Source organism: Homo sapiens, chromosome 4 (genome assembly GCF_000001405.40).
Source record: "Homo sapiens chromosome 4, GRCh38.p14 Primary Assembly".
NCBI classification, from domain to species: Eukaryota; Metazoa; Chordata; class Mammalia; order Primates; family Hominidae; genus Homo; species Homo sapiens.
Window position 1 is genome coordinate 103,420,800 of NC_000004.12, and position 20,826 is coordinate 103,441,625.

The following is a 20,826-nucleotide window of genomic DNA, read 5'->3' on the forward strand; positions in this document are numbered from 1 at the left end:
CCCATATTTCCCCTCTGCATTGCCCTAGTAGAGGTTCTCCATGAGAGCTCCTCCCCTGAAGCAGATTTCTGCCTGGGCATCTGGGCATTTCCATACATCCTCTCAACTCTAGGTGGAGGCTTCCAAAGCTCAACTTTTGTCTTCTGTGCACCTGCAGTCCCAACACCACATGGAAGCTGCCAAGGCTTGGGGCTTGCACCATCTGAAGCAGCAGCCTGAGCTGTATGTTGGCCCCTTTTAGCCATGGCTGGAGCTGGAGTGGCTGGGATGCAGGGCACCAAGTTCTGAGGCTTCACAGAGTAACGGGGCCCTGGGCCCACAAAGCCATTTTTCCCTCCTAGGTCTCTGGGCCTGTGATGGGAGTGGCTGCTGTGAAAGTCTCTTACATGCCCTGGAGATATTTTTCCCATTGTCTTGGCTATTAGCATTCAGCTCCTCATTACTTATGCAAATTTCTGCAACTGTCTTGAATTCCTTCCCAGAAAATGGGTTTTTAATTTCTACTATGTGGTCAGGCTGCAAATTTCCCAAAACTTCATGCTGTCTTTCTCTTTTAAACATGAGTTGTGTATGGTGGCCTGGTATTCAATCTGAGAGGTGGGAGTATGTTAGCAGGACCTCTTCTTTTTTCACTGAGAGCTTTTTAAAAATAAATTCTGCTCTCCTCACCTTTCGATGTGTCTGCATGCCTAATCTTTCCTGGTCACATGACAAAAGCCTGATTTTAGCTGAACTAAGGAGCAAAAACTTCTGCATCAAAAGCTACCTCCAAGTAACTAAAAATTGGCATCATTTCCCTAGGTTTTATCAAAGAGAAGAAAAATTGACATAATTTCCCTAGAGTTTATAAGGGTTTACCTTTCTCTGATAAACAATTTTGCACCTCTACCTCATTCAACCCACAAGACACATATGAAAATCTCTGTGGAGGAGAAAGGGAGGATGCTAGAATATGGACTTCAGTAGGGAGGTCAGTGCTTAAGGTGGTAGGTTGTTCCCATTCCTTTTGAAAGGAAAGAGGCTATGGGTACGATAGACTTCTTTTTTTTATTCTTCCTGAAACAATATAGTGTAACAGCTATTTACATAGCACTTACATTGTCTCAAGTATTACAAGTAATCTAGAGATGAGATAAAGTGTATGGGAGGATATGCATAGGCTATATGCAAATATTCAGCCATTTTATGTAAGAGACTTGAGCGCCTGTGGAATTTGGAATCCTCCAGAGGTCCTGGAGCCAATCCCCCATGGATACCGAGGGATGACTGTACATCATACTTTCATTTATTTAAAATTATATGTATTAGGTTGGTGCAAAAGTGACTGTGGTTTTTGCCATTTTTTTTTAAAGCTATGGCAAAAACTGCAATTACTTTTGCACCAACCTAATATAAATCCTACGTCACTTTTCATCAGCAACTGGTAAACCAAGAATCAGGGACCATCCTAGGCAAAGAGAACTAGAAAGATTGTTCTTGCTCTTCAGAACAGTTGTTCAAATGATACCCTGTGGATCTGATTCCATTATAATTTCCCAGGGTGCTTATTAAATAAGCAGATTACTGGATCTACCACAGATTCACTGAATCAGAATTTAGAGCTGAGGCTAGAAGGCTGCATCCTTAGCAAGTGCCTTTGATGACTCCTATGGTTCCTGATGTTTTATAACCTTTGTTCCAGAAATCCACACTATCTAACACGAGACAATATAACATACATGAAGAGGCCACAAAATAGTGAGCAAAATCATTTTACAGACTATAAATCTTTTTATTACATTCATGGCTTAGCCCAAGGATGAACCCATAGTAGATGCTTAATATTTGCAAGTAATAATGAGATAGTTTATATACTAGAACACTGAATCATCATGGTGACCTAAGTATTTGGAATTTTTAACATGACATCTTCAGTTATTTTTGATTTCAAAGAAAAGAGCCACTCCTTACTTTTTATTTTGAAATGTGGCATAAACCTGTTTGATTTTCACAATTTTAAAATGATGGGAAAAAAATTGAAAGGTTTTGTGGGAGAAGAAGTACAAATAGGTCCATAAAATATGTCTAAGATTGACTTGTAAAAAATAAAGAGAATCTCTAAGTGCCAAAAGTTTTTTCTGTGCTTACTGACATATCTTTAATCTCACAAAATGCTCTACCCCGTGGAAGAGGGCAGCAGATATAATAAGTAATGTATTAATCATTTATTTGAAACTCTGTTGATCCTAGTCTGACAAAATGAAATAAAGATTGATCCAATTTATTAAGGCCTATGCCTGCTAGAAACAGAGGCTTAATGAAATATGGTTTATTTTTCTCACATAACAACTCTCTAGGCAGGTGATGGTGGGTGTTGTTAGCCTCTCTCTGGTGTCATCCAGAATCCATATCCTTGTTATGTCTGCTCCACCATCCTCATCTTGTAATTTTTAGTTTTAGGTTTATCATTTCATGGGCTTAAGGTGGCTGCTGCAATTCCTGGCTTTATGCACATGTTTAAGGCTGGAGGGAGCTAGCAAATGTGCCATTTTCTGTTTTTCTTTTTTTTTTTTTTTTTTTTGTCAACAAATAAATTTTTTCCTGGAAACTCTAAACTGGTATTTGTTTTTCGACTTGTGGCCCTTAGGTCAGAACCCTGTCACATGGCTACCCATTACGGTGAGTCTGGGAAAGTGAGTATCCAGCTTTCTGAATTCTAAAGTGGGCAGCAATGGAAGTAGCAGTTGCAAAATGACTTCTGAGTTGGCTAAAGGACAATGTCTGCCACAATATTCTCTCATTACCAATGACCCAGGACTTGGACTCTTTAAGAACAGGAGAGCTGAGAGCTGAACTACTGGAAGGGTAGCTTCACTGCTATGTTAGGCTTGCTTCTTCACCTGAAAGTTCTTTCAGAATCTTGGTTGTGTGTTACCTGCTGTGCATTCTAGCCCTGCACATGATATTTGTCTCCTAGACTGACTGCTTCTTATTCCTTTTCCCTTTCTGGTAAGCAGTATAGGTTAGTGGTGGGGAGTGCAGGTTCTGGAAGCAGAAAGTCTGGGTTTAAATCCTGGCTGGCCTACTTATTAGCTGTGTGATCCTGAGCAAGTTATTTAACTTCTGTCAGTCTTTTTATCCTCATTCATCAAGTATAAATAGCAGTGGTACCTATCCCACAGATTTGTTATAAAAATGCAATGACATCACCTCATAAAAGTATATCATGACCATGCTAAGCATGTTAAGTGGTTGGAAAATGTTAATAATTATTATTAATTTCTTATTGTTTTGACTCATATCTAGATCTATCAATGTATGTAATCACAATGCTTGGCACATAGAACACACAGAACTCAGCTCACTTTTTTGTGCATAAAGATATGTAATTATGTAACTTTGTGTATGTGTATGTGTGTGTTATGTTTGTGTGATTTGTGAAGGTGTTGTGCAGATAAAATCTTTTTACAGAAATGCCCAAGGCCCCTGGATTTCTGCCTCTTAGAGAAAGATTATTCAAGTGGACTATATTTGCAAAACCAATTTTCTAAGAAACCAGATTTTTAAAAATAAATTTCTAAAATCCCTATGTTGTCTTTTATTAAAATTATATATTTCTCTTGGTCTTTTAGTATACTGTACATAGACTGTGTTATTTTGTTAGATTTTCCCCAGTTATTTCTTTTTGGGGGAGCAGATATTAGTAAAAGATAAAATGGCACCCAAGAATATTTTTCAAGAACAAAATACATGGCTTAAGAAAAAGAATAACCTGTCTGAGGAATGGTAGGAAGGACATTTGGAAATGAACATGCCTCAGTGTTGAGGAAGATGCTGACCAGAAATGTGTAAGCAATCTGGAGACAAACTGTTGCTTTCTTTATAATTTTACTCCTATTCAGTTCTGGTTTCATCTTTCCATTAATACATATTCACTTTATAATGTAGGGAGCACTCTTTCTTGCCTTTGGGATTTAAGTAATTGAAGTTAATCTTTTTGAAAGAGATCTCAGTTGGATTGATCTAAGATTGAAAAGGTCATTAAGAGGAAATTAATAAAAGGGAACTCTTTAAGGTGGGTAACGCAGGTATTATAGTCTTAGCCCCTGGAATATGACCCAGTGGGCAGAGTAAGCCCTGGCAAAGCAAGGCACACAGCCAAATGTTAGCTTTTCACATGCAAAAACAGGATTATGCAATAGTACAGACTTTGCAAGTCTATTGTTTACAGAAGGAATTAAGCAACATTTGTTTACCTACTTCATTATTATACCAGCAATCCAGCCTGAAGGACTTAGCTCATAGATGTCTTCTGAAATGTGGAAGAAATACTTTCGTTTGTCATAAAACCTCAGCAGGAGATTGGAGTCTGGAAGAGGGAGGGGAGAAGAGGAGGACCTCAGGGAGGCAAGTTAAACAGTCCAGTTTTTGCATCTTAATTTCCTTCTCTGTGCTTTTGTCTTTCAAGGGGTGGTGCCGGGCACAGGTATTTTAGATAAATAAGTGGGATGGCAAGAGAAGGACCTTTTTACTGCTTACCCATTTATTGGGTGACAATCCAGTATGCTGTCCAGAATGCAATATTTTTGAGAGTAAAAGAAATCATACTGGGCCAGATCATAAAACCCAGCATTTTTTAGACAAACTGATATAGTGTATATGGTTAACTTACTTTGTACGAAGAAGGTATAACAAACTCACTTTAGAGGACAGTGGTACAGTCTGATAGAGTGAGTACCCAGTTAACTCTCTGTGTGTTATGTCAGCTGGCTTTGTATCAGGAAGCTTCTGGTGAGTTTAGGTGACCCCTTAGCAGAGGCAGGTGGAAAATTCCAGGCTAGGAGGCTGGATGGAGTAGATGGTAAACACTCAAGGGTCAGTGGTCTATGATGAGAGCACAAGCCAAGAACCAACCATGAGGATTCCAAGGGGAGCCTGGGTTATCAGAAGCCATTAGAGCTGCAGTGACCAGATTAAAAAGGACATTGCCCCAAGAGTGTCTGCATGAAATAAGGGATATCCTTGCTTGTTTGTGACCCAAGGATATGTAAGCCATACATTTTTCCCTTTATATCCCTCAATGTTAGAGAGAGAAACAGAAAATATGGTGGCTATATGGGATATGAAATATTTGTATTAATAAAAATGTTAATAGAAATTGCATGGCCTTTTAATTTATGGTGTGGGACTAAATTTAAACTACAAATGTAGTTGAGTTTCTATTTTGTGGAGAGATTATTTATGAACAAAATAAAGGAGTTACAACTCTTTATAAATAAGTCATACTATAAAATGTGTGACCCTCCTTGTTGCATTTAAAAAGGCTATATATTTTTTGATAGTGAGATCTTTTCCCTCTGTATTTCTCTCCAAAAATCTTAATAATGTCACCATTTTATTAAATCATTTGATAGGATCAATACTTTATATGAACTATCTCATCTGAGCAGCCCCAAGAAACCTGTAAAACAGGCATTATTGTCCTATTTTATAGGTAAATTAGCCAAGGATAAGATAAATCGAAGGGATTCATCAAGTTCACCTAGATAATAAGTGGTAGAGCTTGGATTTAGAACCAAGCCAAAACACTCACATGGCTTACCTATTACTTTTCATTCTAAGCGGCCTTATTTTATCACAAATAGATTGAGATGAATGCATTGAACCCTTGACTTCTAAACTCTCTTCTATATGATTTTAAATTTAGTTAATTACTGAACATTTCATATTCTTATATCTGCTCAACTAGATTCAAAATTCTTCAGTGCTTCCTTTTTTAATCTCTGTGTTTATTGCATTATTGTTGTCTTTAGACATATTCATTCATTCAAGAAGTATTTATTGAGCACCTATTATTGCCAGAAACTGTCTCAAGTGTCTGATATATATATATGTATTTATATATATAATATATAAAAATATAATATGTAATATAATACATAAATTTATATATATATAAAAATACATAAAACTGACAACAACCTTTGTCCCTTTGGAACTTACCTTTTATTGATGGAGGCAAAAAATAAAATGAGTGAGTTAATTTTAAGATATAGTAGAAGGTATTAAGTACAATGCACAAAAAAGTAAAGCAGAGTTAAGTGAAATTGAGAATGGGAATGGGTTACTATTTTAAGAAACATGATAAGATTAGGTCCATTGAGAAAATTTCATCTGAAAAATGCCTGAGGGAATGTCTGTGCACATGTTCAGAGGAAGAGCAGTTTATGTGGAGGGAAGCAGGCAGTGCAAGAGGCTTGAGGTACATGTGGCCAGAATAGAATAAGTGAAATAAAGTCAGAGAAAGAACAATTTTGGGTGTTGTCTGAATAGATCTTATGGGAACTTGAAAGTCATTGCAAGAAATTTCACAAGATTTCAATGAGATAAATAACTTCCTATTTCTTATTAATATCCAGTATGGCTATAAGAATAGACGTTGCTATAAAAGCTTTTATTGACACATGTTGACATCCAGACATATTATGCTGACATTTTTGTTTATGAACCACAGTCTATCATAGATTATTAACAAATTATTGGTTTATGTACTCAGATACTCAGACAGTGATTTTTAGTTACCAGACCACGGTAATCACAGAGTTTCTCCCTGCCATCTTTGGTTAACTGATATGTATCAATTTTATTTTATTTTATTTTTTTTTTTACCATCACATACCTCAAGATCTGGTAACACCATGGGAAGATTGTATTTCAAGAGTTTTCTTTTATTTTTTTTTTCTTCCCTCCCTTAACATTATGCTAAGTAATCAGGAAGAAGGAGTTAAGGGAGCTTCTTTTCATGGACTAGACTCTAGGGAAAAAAGATTGATGATATTTGGTAGAAGGAAAAGTCTTATCTCTAAAATGCCCTCAGTATTATGTCAGGCTAAGCATTACCTGTGGCAAACAAAACTAGGATGATGAGCTTCATGCTTGGAGAATGTCTCTTAAGCTATGAAATCCTCTGAGCCTCCATTAGAGACCTCATCCCTTCTTAACAAGAAGGGTATTCCAGACCCAGCAAAGAAGGGCTTCGGGAGCTACTCTTGACATCCCAGTCCTTTCCCTGCTTGTCTGATCCTTTTATTTGAAATTACTTAGTAGATTGAGGTACTAGTTAAAGCCTCTGATTCATGTTAGTCTGTTTTGACAATCTAATCCTGTGTTAGCCCAGTGATAGAGGGAATCTTAAAAAAATGTTACTTCTAAGAAAGGACAAAATTTGGCACAGGTTCATAGACTGTTGTTTATAAATTCAAGGGCTTAGGTATCTTCTGAATAACAGTATTTTGGAAAAATTGCACTCTAAATATTTTGAGTGGAGTCTGAAGATAAATGGTTCATCACTAAGAGTTAAGAAGATTACATTTTAGCAGAGGAAAAATCCATACAGGTCGTCCCTTCAAATTTTATAATTGGGAACTATTAGCTCATTTAAGTGATTTTGCCATTGTTTGAAACTTCTGAAATTCCTCTTCTAAGATTTGTTTTGGAAACTGTGTATTTTAAACATGTCTTCCAATGTGGCATATCTTTACCCTTTGAAGGAGTATTTCATTTTTGAAAATACTTAGGAGCTACTCCAAAAAAACTGTTATGATAATAGATATTTGAGAATAGCAGATATTTGAGAATTTTTTAAAAAATGTGAGAATATATAGTAATGTTACTTGTTGTCTTGAACATTTTGTAAACTGAGTGATAATTCCCAAAGTGACATGCAAAACTATATCATCAAAAATTGCTTCATCAGAATGACTTATATTTTCCCAAAATGACTGCTTTGAAGGACAACATTCATTTGACTACATTTCTCCTCATCACCTACCCTGATCATCCTATTTAAAATATCTAGTTTGATCACTCTATTTAAAATAGCTATTTCTAATCAAGATCTCTGTTCAGTGCATAATTCTCCCATGTCATTTTTAATAATTGCTATTTATAAAGAACAGAACTGTCTTAATATTGTATATTTCAGTTTTCTCATAATAACAATGGCTATGACTCAGAGCAAAAAGTATAATTTTCCCAGTAGGGACCTGTGGGAATAAATATATATATATATATATTTTATTACGAACCTAAGGAAAATCTACTGCATTGTATTTACCTACAAAAATGAAAACAAAAACACAACAACAAAAACCTTCTAAAAATAGCTAGTGATTACAAGAAATAACACTCTGCAGACCTTCTTCTGTGTAACGCAAGGTGTTTGCTTATTGTGCTTCCTTTATCCAGATCTGAACACTGTGATCCAGTTTCTGTTGAGGTGACATAATTTCTTTCCTAACAAAAGAGTCATAAATTTAGGAGCAACTTACATAAAGTTTGAGATGAGTTAGATTGCCCTAAAAACTGAAGAATACTCAATTTGCTTCATGCTGTACATGAGATTATGTGTAAATGTGTGTGTGTAAAAATAAATACTATACACACTTATTTTTAACTCAAGTATTACAAGGTAAAATGTAAAATACTGGTGTGTGCACCAGTTGGGGTCCTCTGAAGGAGAAGATGCTGAGAGACAATTAGCAGTCCAAGAAGTTTATTGGAGGTAATGCCCATGAAAGACAAAGGGAGGAGGAAGCCAATTTTACACCTGAAAAGGAAACCGGAGGAAGGGGAGCGAGATGGGGCAGGAAGAGCCTCAGTCTGCGATGCAGATGCGAGTCAGTATCCGACAAACCAACAGGGGGCTCCAGATCAAAGAGGCCTGCTGGGAGTCTGACAGTTGGCAGAAATGACTAGGTCCTGGTACCTGCAGCACACTCAGTCATTGGCTGGGGGGTGTGGGGGAAGAGCGTGGCCTCTGCTGGAAAGCCGAGGTAGACACTGAAGGCAATAACAGCTGGGAGCTGTCAGTAACTGCATTTCTTGAAGCTGAAAAAGAAGTTTTTTCTTGAAGACAGATATGAGTAGCACATCTCCATGGCTGCCACAGTGTGTGTGTTTGTATTTTGACACTACTATGGTCAAAGCACAGTTGAAACAAAGTTCTCTATCATTGAAAGTCTACCTTCTTGTGAGGTATTCTGACATTACAACACATATTAACAGATTACATAAGCTTGCCTGATTTTCCTTGGAAAAACTATATGTAGTTGGCTTGATTTGGGTACATTTAAAGAGATTGACGTTACTAAAATATTCCATACTCCTGACCAATGGCAACAATCTTACCATTAGAATTAGGTAAGCCTGGACAACCAGGACAGGTGGGAATGGGAACCCTGGAATCAAATCCGCAACACAGAGCAAGCACAATTATAACTACCACATTCATTTTCCTCTTCGTATTTGGGGTAGAGGACATGAAGAAGGGAAAATGAGATGGAGTTTGCAGAGGAATTCTAGAAAAGTTTATCTTTGTTCAGAAGTAGGAAAATAAAAATAAAACCTGTGAAAGAAGAACTGGATTAAGATCTCCTTTATTTCCCTGGTCATTGACTTACCCACAAAGGTATGTCTAATATATAAATGGAATCAGATATTAACCCTGGAAAACACATTGGTAGCATATATTACTAAATCTTATTTTATTAGTATTTTTATGTTAATTTTCATAATATTTTATGAAAAGTTTAGTATGTTAAGACTCTGTGGTACCAAGAATAGAATAAAGGATGGGTTAGAATAATAGAGAGGCTAATAGGGAGTTTTGTAGGTCAGAAAATTCTTTTAGCTTCTTTTTAAACACCTCTGCTGATTTTTCCCTATGGAAAGAAAAGTGAAAAACATAGGTAACACATTGTGATACAAAACACAGAAATATATTGGATTTACAGATTCTTTCTTTCCTTCATAAAATTTAGCATTTGTACCTTTTAGTTCTCATCAAAAGTCTGTTGATATAATTTTATGCATCAGTTTTGAAACGTATAGCTAGTATACAGGTAAATAAATATTTCACGTGGTTTATGAACCTACAATGTTTAGAACATCTTCTCAATTAATGATCAGATATTTATTTGGCACCTACAATATGACTCAAAATTTGGAATTGCATTGTGTGTCATACACAGGAAAAGTAAGTCTTTAACAACTATGAATCTCTAACCTATTTGAAGAGGTGAGAAAAATGCACAAAATACAAAGATACAAAGAGGGACTGATACAAGGCAATATATACTTAAGGGCTTAAATAATAGTGGCTTTGAGATGGGTGAGTTGATTGGGCTGGTTCTAGAAAATTTGTGGAGAAAATTGGATTTAAGCTGGACAATGAAAATGAGTAGGTTTTGAATAGACAAAGAAGCAATAGCAGAAATCATGTAAGCAAAATCAGAGACATCAGTGGGCATTAGTGTGGTATATAGACATTAAGAGAATGATTGGATTTGGTTGGATGACTTACGCTGAGAGAGGAGAGGGAAATATAGTTGACCCTAGAGTCCTGATTATGGAGGTCTTGGGCTAGACAGGGCATAAGAGGCAATAAACAATTGTTGTAATAATAAAATGTAATTAGTGTAGGTTTTACTATTGTTAGCTCAAGCATAATTGTTTAGCATTTCTTTTCTATTCTACCCCTTTTCTGAGGACTCAACCTTTTGTTTTGGAAAGCTTATGAAAGTTATAGACTGTTGAAAAATGTTAGTCTACATAGAGTTTGGATGAAGCGCAGCAAATTCCTAGCTGTGGGAAGATGTTTCCACCAACAGTTCTGTGGGAGACAGACAGACTTTTGCTGCTAGAAGGCTCCCACCAGGCAGCTACAAAGGCACAGCTAGCAGGGCTACTTATCACAGGGATGGATGGACAGTCGGCTTGCCTGGCTCCCTCCTGCCTAACCCTATTGCTGATCTGACAATGCTCAGCAGGCTCTAGATGTGACTCCCCTCCCCTCCCTGGAGTCCCCACGTCTTGTCTTTGGCATCTCATTCAAGCTCCACAGATATCCTACAAATTCCTATTCCATTGAATTCTCCTTTCTCCTGAGTCCAGTTGATTCTCACATATTCTTGCCTGAGTAGGAGAGTCGGGGTTTCCCTCTAGTCTTTTTTTTTTTTTTTGAGACGGGGTCTGGCTCTGTGCCCCAGGCCAGAGTGCAACGGCGCGATCTTGGCTCACTGCAAGCTCCGCCTCCCGGGTTCACGCCATTCTCCTGCCTCAGCCTCCCGAGTAGCTGGGACTACAGGCGCCCGCCACCACGCCCGGCTCATTTTTTGTATTTTTAGTAGAGATAGGGTTTCACCATGTTAGCCAGGATGGTCTCGATTTCCTGACCTCGTGATCCACCCACCTCAGCCTCCCAAAGTGCTGGGATTACAGGCGTGAGCCACCGTGCCTGTCCCCCTCTAGTCTTTTAAAAATCTGTTTTTATGACATTGGACTCTGTGCTCTCATTCTTTCAAGATCTTACTTTCTGATTCTCAGGAGTCTTTTCTTTCCTCAATAATCTTGGTTCCTGCACATTGAAAACATTGTTTTTGTTTTTTACATGGGTTCAAGAATCTGTTTTATAATTATAATTTTATTTTTAATTTTTGTAGAGATGGAGTCTGTGTTGCCAGGGCTGGCCTAAAACTCCTGGGCACAAGGGATCCTCCTGCCTTGGCCTCCCAAAGTGCTGGGATAACAGACGTGAGACACTGTGCCTGGGCAAGAGTCTATTTTTGTTTCTTGTTTTTTTGAGACGGAGTCTCACTCTGTCGCCCAGGCTGGAGTGCAGTGGCGCTATCTGGGCTCACTGCAAGCTCCGCCTCCTGGGTTCACGCCATTCTCCTGCCTCAGCCTCCTGAGTAGCTGGGACTACAGGCGCCCACCACCACGCCCGGCTAAGTTTTTGTATTTTTAGTAGAGACGGGGTTTCACCGTGTTAGCCAGGATGGTCTCGATCTCCTAACCTCTTGATCCGCCCGCCTCGGCCTCCCAAAGTGCTGGGATTACAGGCGTGAGCCACCGCGCCCGGCCAGGAGTCTATTTTAAGTCAAATAAATAGCAACGAGAACAATAATTGATCACTAGCAGTTTCTTTTAATTTTTATTCCTGCTTCATAATTCTGATTTCATGAAGGCAAAGTAGATACCTCTGACTGACTAGGGAATCACATATAAGGAATAAGAAAAAGAGCAAGCTATTGTTATCCGTACATAATAATAATAGCTTATATTTATTGACTACTTAGTCTGTGTCAGAACCTGGGGCAATACTCATAGATTATTTCATGTAATCAGCAGTACAGTTTTAAGGGTTGTGCACCACTGCTATCTGCATTTTATAGGTGAAGACAGCAGAACTCAGAGGTTAAATATCTTGCCATCCTTGCAGTACTAGTAAGTCAACGGTGAAACTAAGATTCAAACCCAGGAAATCTACCCCAAAGCCTGCACTCTTACTGGCTGTATTCTTAAATATTTTCTTTATCAAGGGATTAACATAATTATAGAAGTATTTTTGGAAGATTAGTCTGGCATCTGCATGAGAGCCTAGAGAGAGGATTATTAGTTTGGAGGTTATTTTGGTCTTTCAAAATGCCAGGAGCTTCAGGCATAAACTAAAGTGGAGGCCCTAGGTGTTCAGCCTAGTGAACCAGGGTAGTGTGAGCAACATGAAGAGGTAGAGAAATTAAAAATTAGCAATTTGAGAAATTAATAGAAAAATAGACAGTATACTCGAGAAGTATTTTTCAAACTTTTTTCATAATAAAATCACCTGGCACACTTGCTAAAAATATCCTGGTCCCAACCCAACCAGCCTGTCAGGAGATTTTCTAAGTGAATCTCTATCTTAAATAAGGGTCCTAGGTGATTCTTGGGATCGGGTAAATTACAGAAGTCATCCTAGAATGTATCTTTTAATTTTTCCTCTACCGAAACTATACATTGCTTAATTACAGTGGCTTTTCTTAACTCACAGACACAATTTTCCTTTTTACAATTAGTAGCTGATGTGTAGAGTGGTTAGCACATTAGGCCATGACTGTTAAAAGCTTTTAGTCTAACTAGTAAATCATCCAGGTAATTTGAGGTTTTATTGCCATTGCATTGTTGTTTATGGCAGCAAATCAGTTGATTTGCTGCTACCAGACACAGGGTGTAAAGTCATATGCCATAATTAAATGATATGTGACTTCTAAACCAGACATCTTTTGAAGATCCCATTTTATCAGCCAAGTCAGCCAATTTTAAAGCAGAGTGGGTTAATCACTGAGACCATTTCCTCAGCTGCTTCTATGGAAAGTCAACCAAAATTTCTTATAGTTGGTGGGTTCAAGCTTCATAAGTTCAGCTTTAGAATTCAATTGTAAAGCTGAGCTCAGATTTTAAACAATACATATTTTGGGCTGAAAATTCTCTTCAGTGTTTATAATAGTCTGGGGAAATGAAGGTAATAACCATTTTGACAGTAAATGGTAACATATGCAATTTTTTTACATACTGATTCCTTCATCAATTTTGTATCTAATTACTAAGCACTTGGGAATAGAGGCTTCTAATTCAGAAATTGTCAAGTGAAGTATTAGGCATACTCAAGGCAGCTCACCAAAGGTGAGAAGTCCTCTTTTTTCACATATTTATAAACAAGGAAGTTATTGTTCTTTGTTTACTTCCCAGATATTCTTAGTAATATTTAAAGAATCTCAGAGAGGCTTGCAAGGATGTTCAAAGTCCAAAGTCCTTGCCCTAAAACAGCACCCAGTGCTCCTCAGGAGTCCAGTATTATCTCTAATTCAGCTCTATCCCAAGCGACCAATGTCCAATTTCACGAGCCTTTTGGTTGTGGAGTTCTCTGGCTTTAGCAGCATTTCATCTATCATTGAGAATGAGATGAGAATATCTCAACGATGGCAGATAGGATTCTCCCTACTTTTCAGGTCTCTTGTAAAACAACATAAAGAAGCCAGAGGAGAGAAGAAATCCAGAATTGTAGCATAGTTTGCATTTTAGTTCTTGAATCAGGGCTGGGTTTTCTTCTTCTTGAGTTAAATTATGTACCGATCTATTTATCCTAGAGGACAAATAGATAGGGAAAATGGACCCGGGGTGATGTCAGAGACAATCCTGAAAGTTTTAGAATCCATTAGTTTGCCAAGGCCCTGACCAGTTGTCGGTAATAGACAGTAGACTTTCATACCACTGATCCAATTCCAATCATTAGGGGACACCCAGGGATCTGTTTTTGCTCTAAATATCCCAATTGAACTGTATTTTCCTTATTTATTTAATCATTTATATGTATGAACATGGACACATGGATAAAATATTTTATACTTTGCAACATAATATTTTATATTACATTATTTTACTGCTATAATTGGTTTAGCTTTAGCCACTGGATGTTCTTTCAGAATAGCTTCTTTGTCTTTTTCACATGTCCCTTCCTTTACTTTCTGGTACCCCAAGATGCTCTAGACTCATCTTGTATATTTTCTTAAAAAATGGGAAGTCATCAGCATGTAGAGGTTTGTTGAGGCTATCATATTATGATAGTGTGTGGATGTGTAAATTATAAAAAGAAGTGTGCTGAGAATGAAATCTAATGCCAAGATTTCATTTTCAGCACCCTCTTTTTATAATTCTTTTAAAAAATGGTTACAAGAAAGATATTCTTAGAGCAGATGGAAAAAAAAACTAGCAGGAAAACAGAAATAATCAGAAGGGGATAGAAACAAATGTAGGATACTTCCAAGAAACAGGAGATAGAACTAATATGAATTAGTTATTTATTGATTGCTTCAAGAAGGCTTCATGAAATTCTGGGAAATACATGAGTCAGTGATAAATAGATAAGTTTATTGTAGGTCAGGAATTGTGGGCTCTCAAAACTCTGTGGTTCCCCTCAGAGGGCTGTAAAAGTTAAAGCAATTTGATTGGTTTTATATTCAAGGAGAAATATTAAAGAGTTAACTAGTTAAAAATTAAGACAGAAAAACAGAAGATAATTTATTTTCTACAAAATAAACAATTGTAGAAATCAATTCTTTGTATAATCAAAGGATAGCATGTCTGAAGGAAATGGACTGGGAAGAAGAATGTGTTTGACAGGGTATAGAAGTGGGGATGTGGAGTCCTGATAGCTGGACCATGAAGCATAGAACCTGAATCTATGACTTACCTTCTCTTGGGATTTCTCATTGATTACTCACTAATTCTATCACTTTACTAACTACAAGGAGGTCTGTTTCTACTTTAAAATATGTTCAAATGTAGGTAAATGTCACTTGGAATATCCCAGAACACAACCATACTGAGGAATACAGAGGATACTAGAGCTCTTAGTAATTTGGCTTTGAAGATGCTGCTACCTTTAGCTTCAAGTTCATAAGTTCCTGATTTCCCAGTCTCTCTCCCTAGGATTGATGCCAATTTTATTTTATTTTTTTATTTTTATTTTTTTTTCGAGACAGAATCTCGCTCTTTCGCCCAGGCTGGAGTGCAGTGGCGTGATCTCGGCTCACTGCAAGCTCCGCCTCCCGGGTTCACGCCATTCTCCTGCCTCAGCCACTCGAGTCGCTGGGACTACAGGCTCCCGCCACCGCGCCCGGCTAATTTTTGTATTTTTTAGTAGAGACAGGGTTTCACCGTGTTAGCCAGGATGGTCTCGATCTCCTGACTTCGTGATCCACCCGCCTCGGCCTCCGAAAGTGCTGGGATTACAGGCGTGAGCCACTGCGCCCGGCCGCCAATTTTAATACTCACTGCCCAAGACAATTCCCATATCCCTGTGTCCCAAGTGTCTAGAATAATGCCTGAACTATATTAAGCAATCAAGAACTATTTGTTGAATGAATAAATGTATGAATGAATTAATTATATCCTAAGTTACATTTCAATATTTTAGAAAGATGCCATCTTATAGCATCAGCATACTTGTCTTTGTTTACCATATTATAGCTCTTGGGGTTTTAGATGTTAGGTCTATTTTCCTAAATTTCACCCTCTCTCCTTTTTTCCTCCCTAGTTAATTGTATGTCTCTCCTGTTATTGATATTGCCCTACATTTCCTTGTAAAATATTTTACAAAATTGTTCAGGCTTCCTGCATAATTCTGACTTGAAATATTGTGCTTAAAATTTTTCTATATTGCTTCTCAGTATCTTTTCTAAAATAGATCTATGTGATAATTATTTTTGGAGGGGGTATGCTTTTCACCATAACAAGGAATATGAAAATTTAAATGTGTTATAATTTTTTACCTCCACAGATTGTTTTGCTTATTGGTGTTTAATTAAAAACCAAACAACTTTTCCTATTAACTTGATGCTACTTATTAATTGAAATGAGGAGACTGACTCTGGATATTGGGAAAATTTATGGTAAGTCTTTACTATCTTTTCCCATGGTTTGTGGATTATTTACTAGGGAACGTTTGTTACAGACTTGGGCTTCACATGGTTTTCCTTGAGTCTCACAAGTAGCTTCCTTTTGAATAGATTTAGATTCCCTAAACATTTGGTAAATGTCTAGCACATGCCGAACATGTAGGTAGATGTTAGGAGCTTGTTTTAATCAATGAGGAAACAGATGTACAGTGACTCAGTGACTGTAATCCAGCAACTATCCAATAACTATGGTCCCACAGTCAGTGAGAGAGGTAGGGTTAAAGTCTATCTCTTGGGACTCAAGTCCAGTACTTTTTCCCATTATATACTTGGTAAAAGCTCATATATATATATATATATGAGCATTTTTACTTGGTAAAAGCTCATGTGTATATATATATAATATATATATTATATATATATAATATATATAATATATATATTATATATATATAATATCTATTATATATATATAATATATATTATATATATATAATAGATATATGAGTATATATATATGAGTATATATATGAGTATATATATGAGAATATATATGAGTATATATGAGAATATATATATATATATGAGAATGTTCACTTTCTTCTGGGGTCCTCATAGCTTAAACGATAATTCATGGTTTTTATTTTGTGTTCCTTTTCTCTTAGTCTGGAATAGCAAATTGACCTCAAAAGATATATTTTGATCAGGATGAATTCCAAAGCTGAAATTAGTTGTTCTCTGAGTTCAGAGTTTTAGATTAAACATCTCTCTCTTGATATATATATCTATGGTAAGTTATTTAAAATTATTCTTAATATTTGGAATAAGAGTTAAACTTAAGAAAAGTAAGTCCAGTAGTATTTGAAGTAAGCTTTAAATTGGACTTTGGTTATTTAAAAATGTTTTAATCATTAAACTATGGACCGAAATAAAGTATTCATGATGGACATAATATTAGACTATCAAAAGTCAGGAAACATGGCCTTGATGACAAACTTAAGAGAAGCAGCGGAGGGTTTGCTGCTACTGAAGATTTTACATTTAAAAAAAAAAGAAAATAGACTGTGTAGTATTTGAATGAATTCCTAAATATAAGAAGCTATAGTTTTTGTAAATATTTGAATTCCAGAAAATAAAATTCCACAGCTATGTATGAGAAAGCACATTTTAAAAAAATAAGATGTTTTTGGCCAGTCGTAGTGGCTCATGCCTGTAATTCCAGCATTTTGTGAGGCTGAGGTAGGAGGATGGCTTGAGCCCAGGAGATCAAGACTAGCCTGGGCAACATAGTGGGACCCCCATCTCTACAAAAGATAAAAAAATTAGTCAGTGTGATGGCACGTGCCCGTAGTCCCAGCTACCTAGGAGGCTGAGGTGGGAGGATTGCTTGAGCCAGGGAGGGAGATCAGAGCCTGAGAGCTTGAGGCTGCAGTGAGCCATCATCACCCTGCTGCACTCCAGCATGGATGACAGAGTGAGAACCTGTCTCAAAAAAACAAAAAACAAAAACCCAAAACAACCAAATGTATTTGCTAACTTGCTATAAATATAAAATGATACTTCTTTTTTAGATTGTAAAAAATCAAGTGAAACTAACTTTGTGCTCTTTGATCATCATTTCCGTTTTCTCTGTTCTTCCCACCTGCCTCCCCAGACCCTAGTAATCACCATTCCACTCTCTACTTCTATGAGTTTGACTAAGATTCCACATGTAAGTGACATCATATGGTTATATATATACATATATATATATATATAAAAATATATATAACGTTTTCTTTTTCCATTCATCCATTGACACTCAGGTTTATTCCGTATCTTGACCCTCGTAAATAAAGCTGCAATGACCATGGGAGTGCAGATATCTCTTCAACATACTGATTTCAGTTCCTTTAGATATATACCAAGAAGTGGGATTGCTGGATCATATTAGATGATCCACTGCACAGCATGCAATAGTAATCTGCACAGCATGGTCACTACATAGTTAATAATAACGTATTATGTATTTCAAATTATTAAAAGAGTAAATTTTAAATGTTCTCACCATAAAAAATAAGTATGTGTTGAATATGGGATATGTTAATTACCGTGATTTAATCATTCCACACTGTGTACATGTATCAAAACATCACATTGTACCCCATAAATATATATATAATTATTTTGTCAGTTAAAAATAAAATACAAGTAAAATCACTTTAAAATAAAAAAATCAATTGAAAGCATTTCTAAGCATTTGAACATGTAATTGTTGAGAAAACACACAATGATTTCGCTAATTCCAGCTGATCATTTTTCCGCTGAGAGATAATATATTAAGGGAGTTTAGAAATACATTTTCAGAATTCTATCTATCTACCTATCTCTATCTGTCTGTATATCCATCCATCACATTTTGAAATCTTTTTTAAAGTAAAAAATGTAATAAAATGTCTCTTGTGTAGCAAATCAGCAAATTAAATTGATATAAAATTCTCTCACATATGCTTGACTTAATGTAATAATAAATATCATAACATATAGCTTAAAACTTATCTTTCATCCCTTTCCCTTTCCTCTTTCTCCACAGGTGACCATTATTCTGAGTGTTTTAAAAGCAATATTTTTCTATTGAAGAAATGAAAATAGCAGTCATTCAAAATCCTATTGTGCTATCTTTTGATCATCATAATAAGCAAACGCAAATAATTCTCCCTTGGTGATCCAATTAAATGATTTTAAAATATCAGTGTCAAAGCTGTTCCTTCTAAAATTTAAGGCAAATCTAATAGATTCTAAACATAGATTACAAACTCAAACGCCCTCAGGTGCCAGGCAGGAGAGATTAGAGAGCCGCCTGTCAGAATGGAGACGCTAGATTTAGTTTATCCCCAATTTGTAAAAGACAGACGCTGGTTGTCTTTTCAGAATGACAAGAAATCAATAGACAATATTATCAAGTGGTCAGAATCTTGAAAGAAGGCAGAAATTTAGGTATATTTATTTCTAATTTCTAAATGTTGACAAAGATTTAAAATTTTAAAAGTACCTTGTATTTTAAATTAACCCTGTTGGAAGTCCAGCGTCAGCTGTTGGACTGCTACTTTGCAATTACGGCAAAGTGGGACAGCTACAACCATCTTTCTGGTTGAGTGCACTATCCTCTTTCCCTTTCCGAATTCACTTATTTATTAAACTACATTTGCTGCTCAAGTCTGGGCTTCCTGGATGTAAAAAGTTCTCCGTGATCTGGCATCACTCTGCCATCCTGCCTTCAACCCTGCTGCTCCCATCAGAGTGGCTTCCTTGCAGTCATCTGACATATTCAACATTGTTTTGCCTTCACTGCTGAGCTCATGAAGTTGGTCTATGAATGTGTCATATAGTAGAAAGAAACTGGATTTGGACAAAATTCTATGCTGATAAAAAGGATGATGAGGCCAATGCTGTGGATGTATTTATATATCTGCTGAATCTGTCATTTAGGAATTAGTAAATAGTTGCTGAATCCTTTGTTTTAAATATCGCGTACTTGAAAACGATAAATAATTTTTCAACCTTTGGTTCTTCAGATTGAAAAATTTCAGCTCACAGAATCTTTCCCAAGATAGAGAATTTCTAAACCTGTAATTATTTTTGTAACTTGCCTGTAAACTCTCTTTACATTTTTTATTCTTTTTGTTTCAAGTCTACAATATTTCTCGTTGTTTAGAATGAAGTTGATAATATTTTAATATAAAGCAGAGTTTCTGCATTCATTAGTATGTTCTGATTCGTTGTTTATAGTGATTGTTTTAACCATCTCTGAATCTGAGTTTTTGATTTGCAATGATTTTGTGAATTATTGTGACATGTTGGCAGCTGTATTAAACCATCGTATTGAAGAGATATTAAGTAATTATTAGTCCATATTCCCATTTTAAAGCGTTAAAATAATATAAATGGCATACATTCTTCTTAATATCCTGGAATACTGAAATGCTTTCAACCAAACATATAAGAATTTTAGAAAGCTAGACTCTGACATGAGCAATAAAACGCACTAGGTTACTCAGAATAGAGATTCACTTAGTTTAAAAGTAGTTTTTATTGCTACATAATATTGTGAAGCAAACTATTCATCAGTAGCCTCAAGCATGTACTACCTGCATGAAATACAGGGACATCTGAAAGACTGGAGGAATAGGTTGGATTTCTTAGCCTCTTTTGTGGTTTCCTTATACTTTTTTCTGATCTTCCCATTAATAATCCATAACACCTAGCACTGGCTATCAAATATACTGAAAAAGCTTGTTGAATAAATGAATCAGTGAAGAAATTTGTGATATCCTTTCAACAAATTCTTTATTTCTCTCTCCTATCTGTCAATTCCCATTGTATACATAATGAATATCTACACATGTTACTAATGAATGGAATGCTATGTTCTTCCTTTAAATGAACACATGCTCCAATTCCTTAGTCTATTAAGATGCTTGATAGAATGTGGCTTCTCTGATCTGAATTTTTGTGGAAAGATGTATTAGCTAGATATCCAAAACATGACATGTTTTGAAGAATGTGCTCAAAGTGAAGAAATGTTTCAAATTCC

At 36.3% G+C, this 20,826-nt stretch overlaps 1 long non-coding RNA gene across 1 annotated transcript, besides 1 other annotated feature; it reads left to right on the forward strand.

Moving 5' to 3' along the window:
* Nucleotides 3,971-4,472: an enhancer, noted in NCBI's record as "NANOG hESC enhancer chr4:104345927-104346428 (GRCh37/hg19 assembly coordinates)". NCBI's record gives its function as "activates a minimal SCP1, AML or CMV promoter by ChIP-STARR-seq in primed H9 embryonic stem cells {active_cell/tissue: H9 hESC(primed)}" and the evidence as "EXISTENCE:reporter gene assay evidence [ECO:0000049][PMID:30033119]".
* LINC02428 (long intergenic non-protein coding RNA 2428) lies at nucleotides 4,243-18,929 on the forward strand. The gene is made up of 4 exons (NR_125925.1): nucleotides 4,243-4,386; nucleotides 16,136-16,247; nucleotides 17,908-17,964; nucleotides 18,826-18,929. It is a non-coding gene; the product is annotated as a long intergenic non-protein coding RNA 2428 (long non-coding RNA).
* Nucleotides 18,930-20,826: the final 1,897 nt, after the last annotated feature.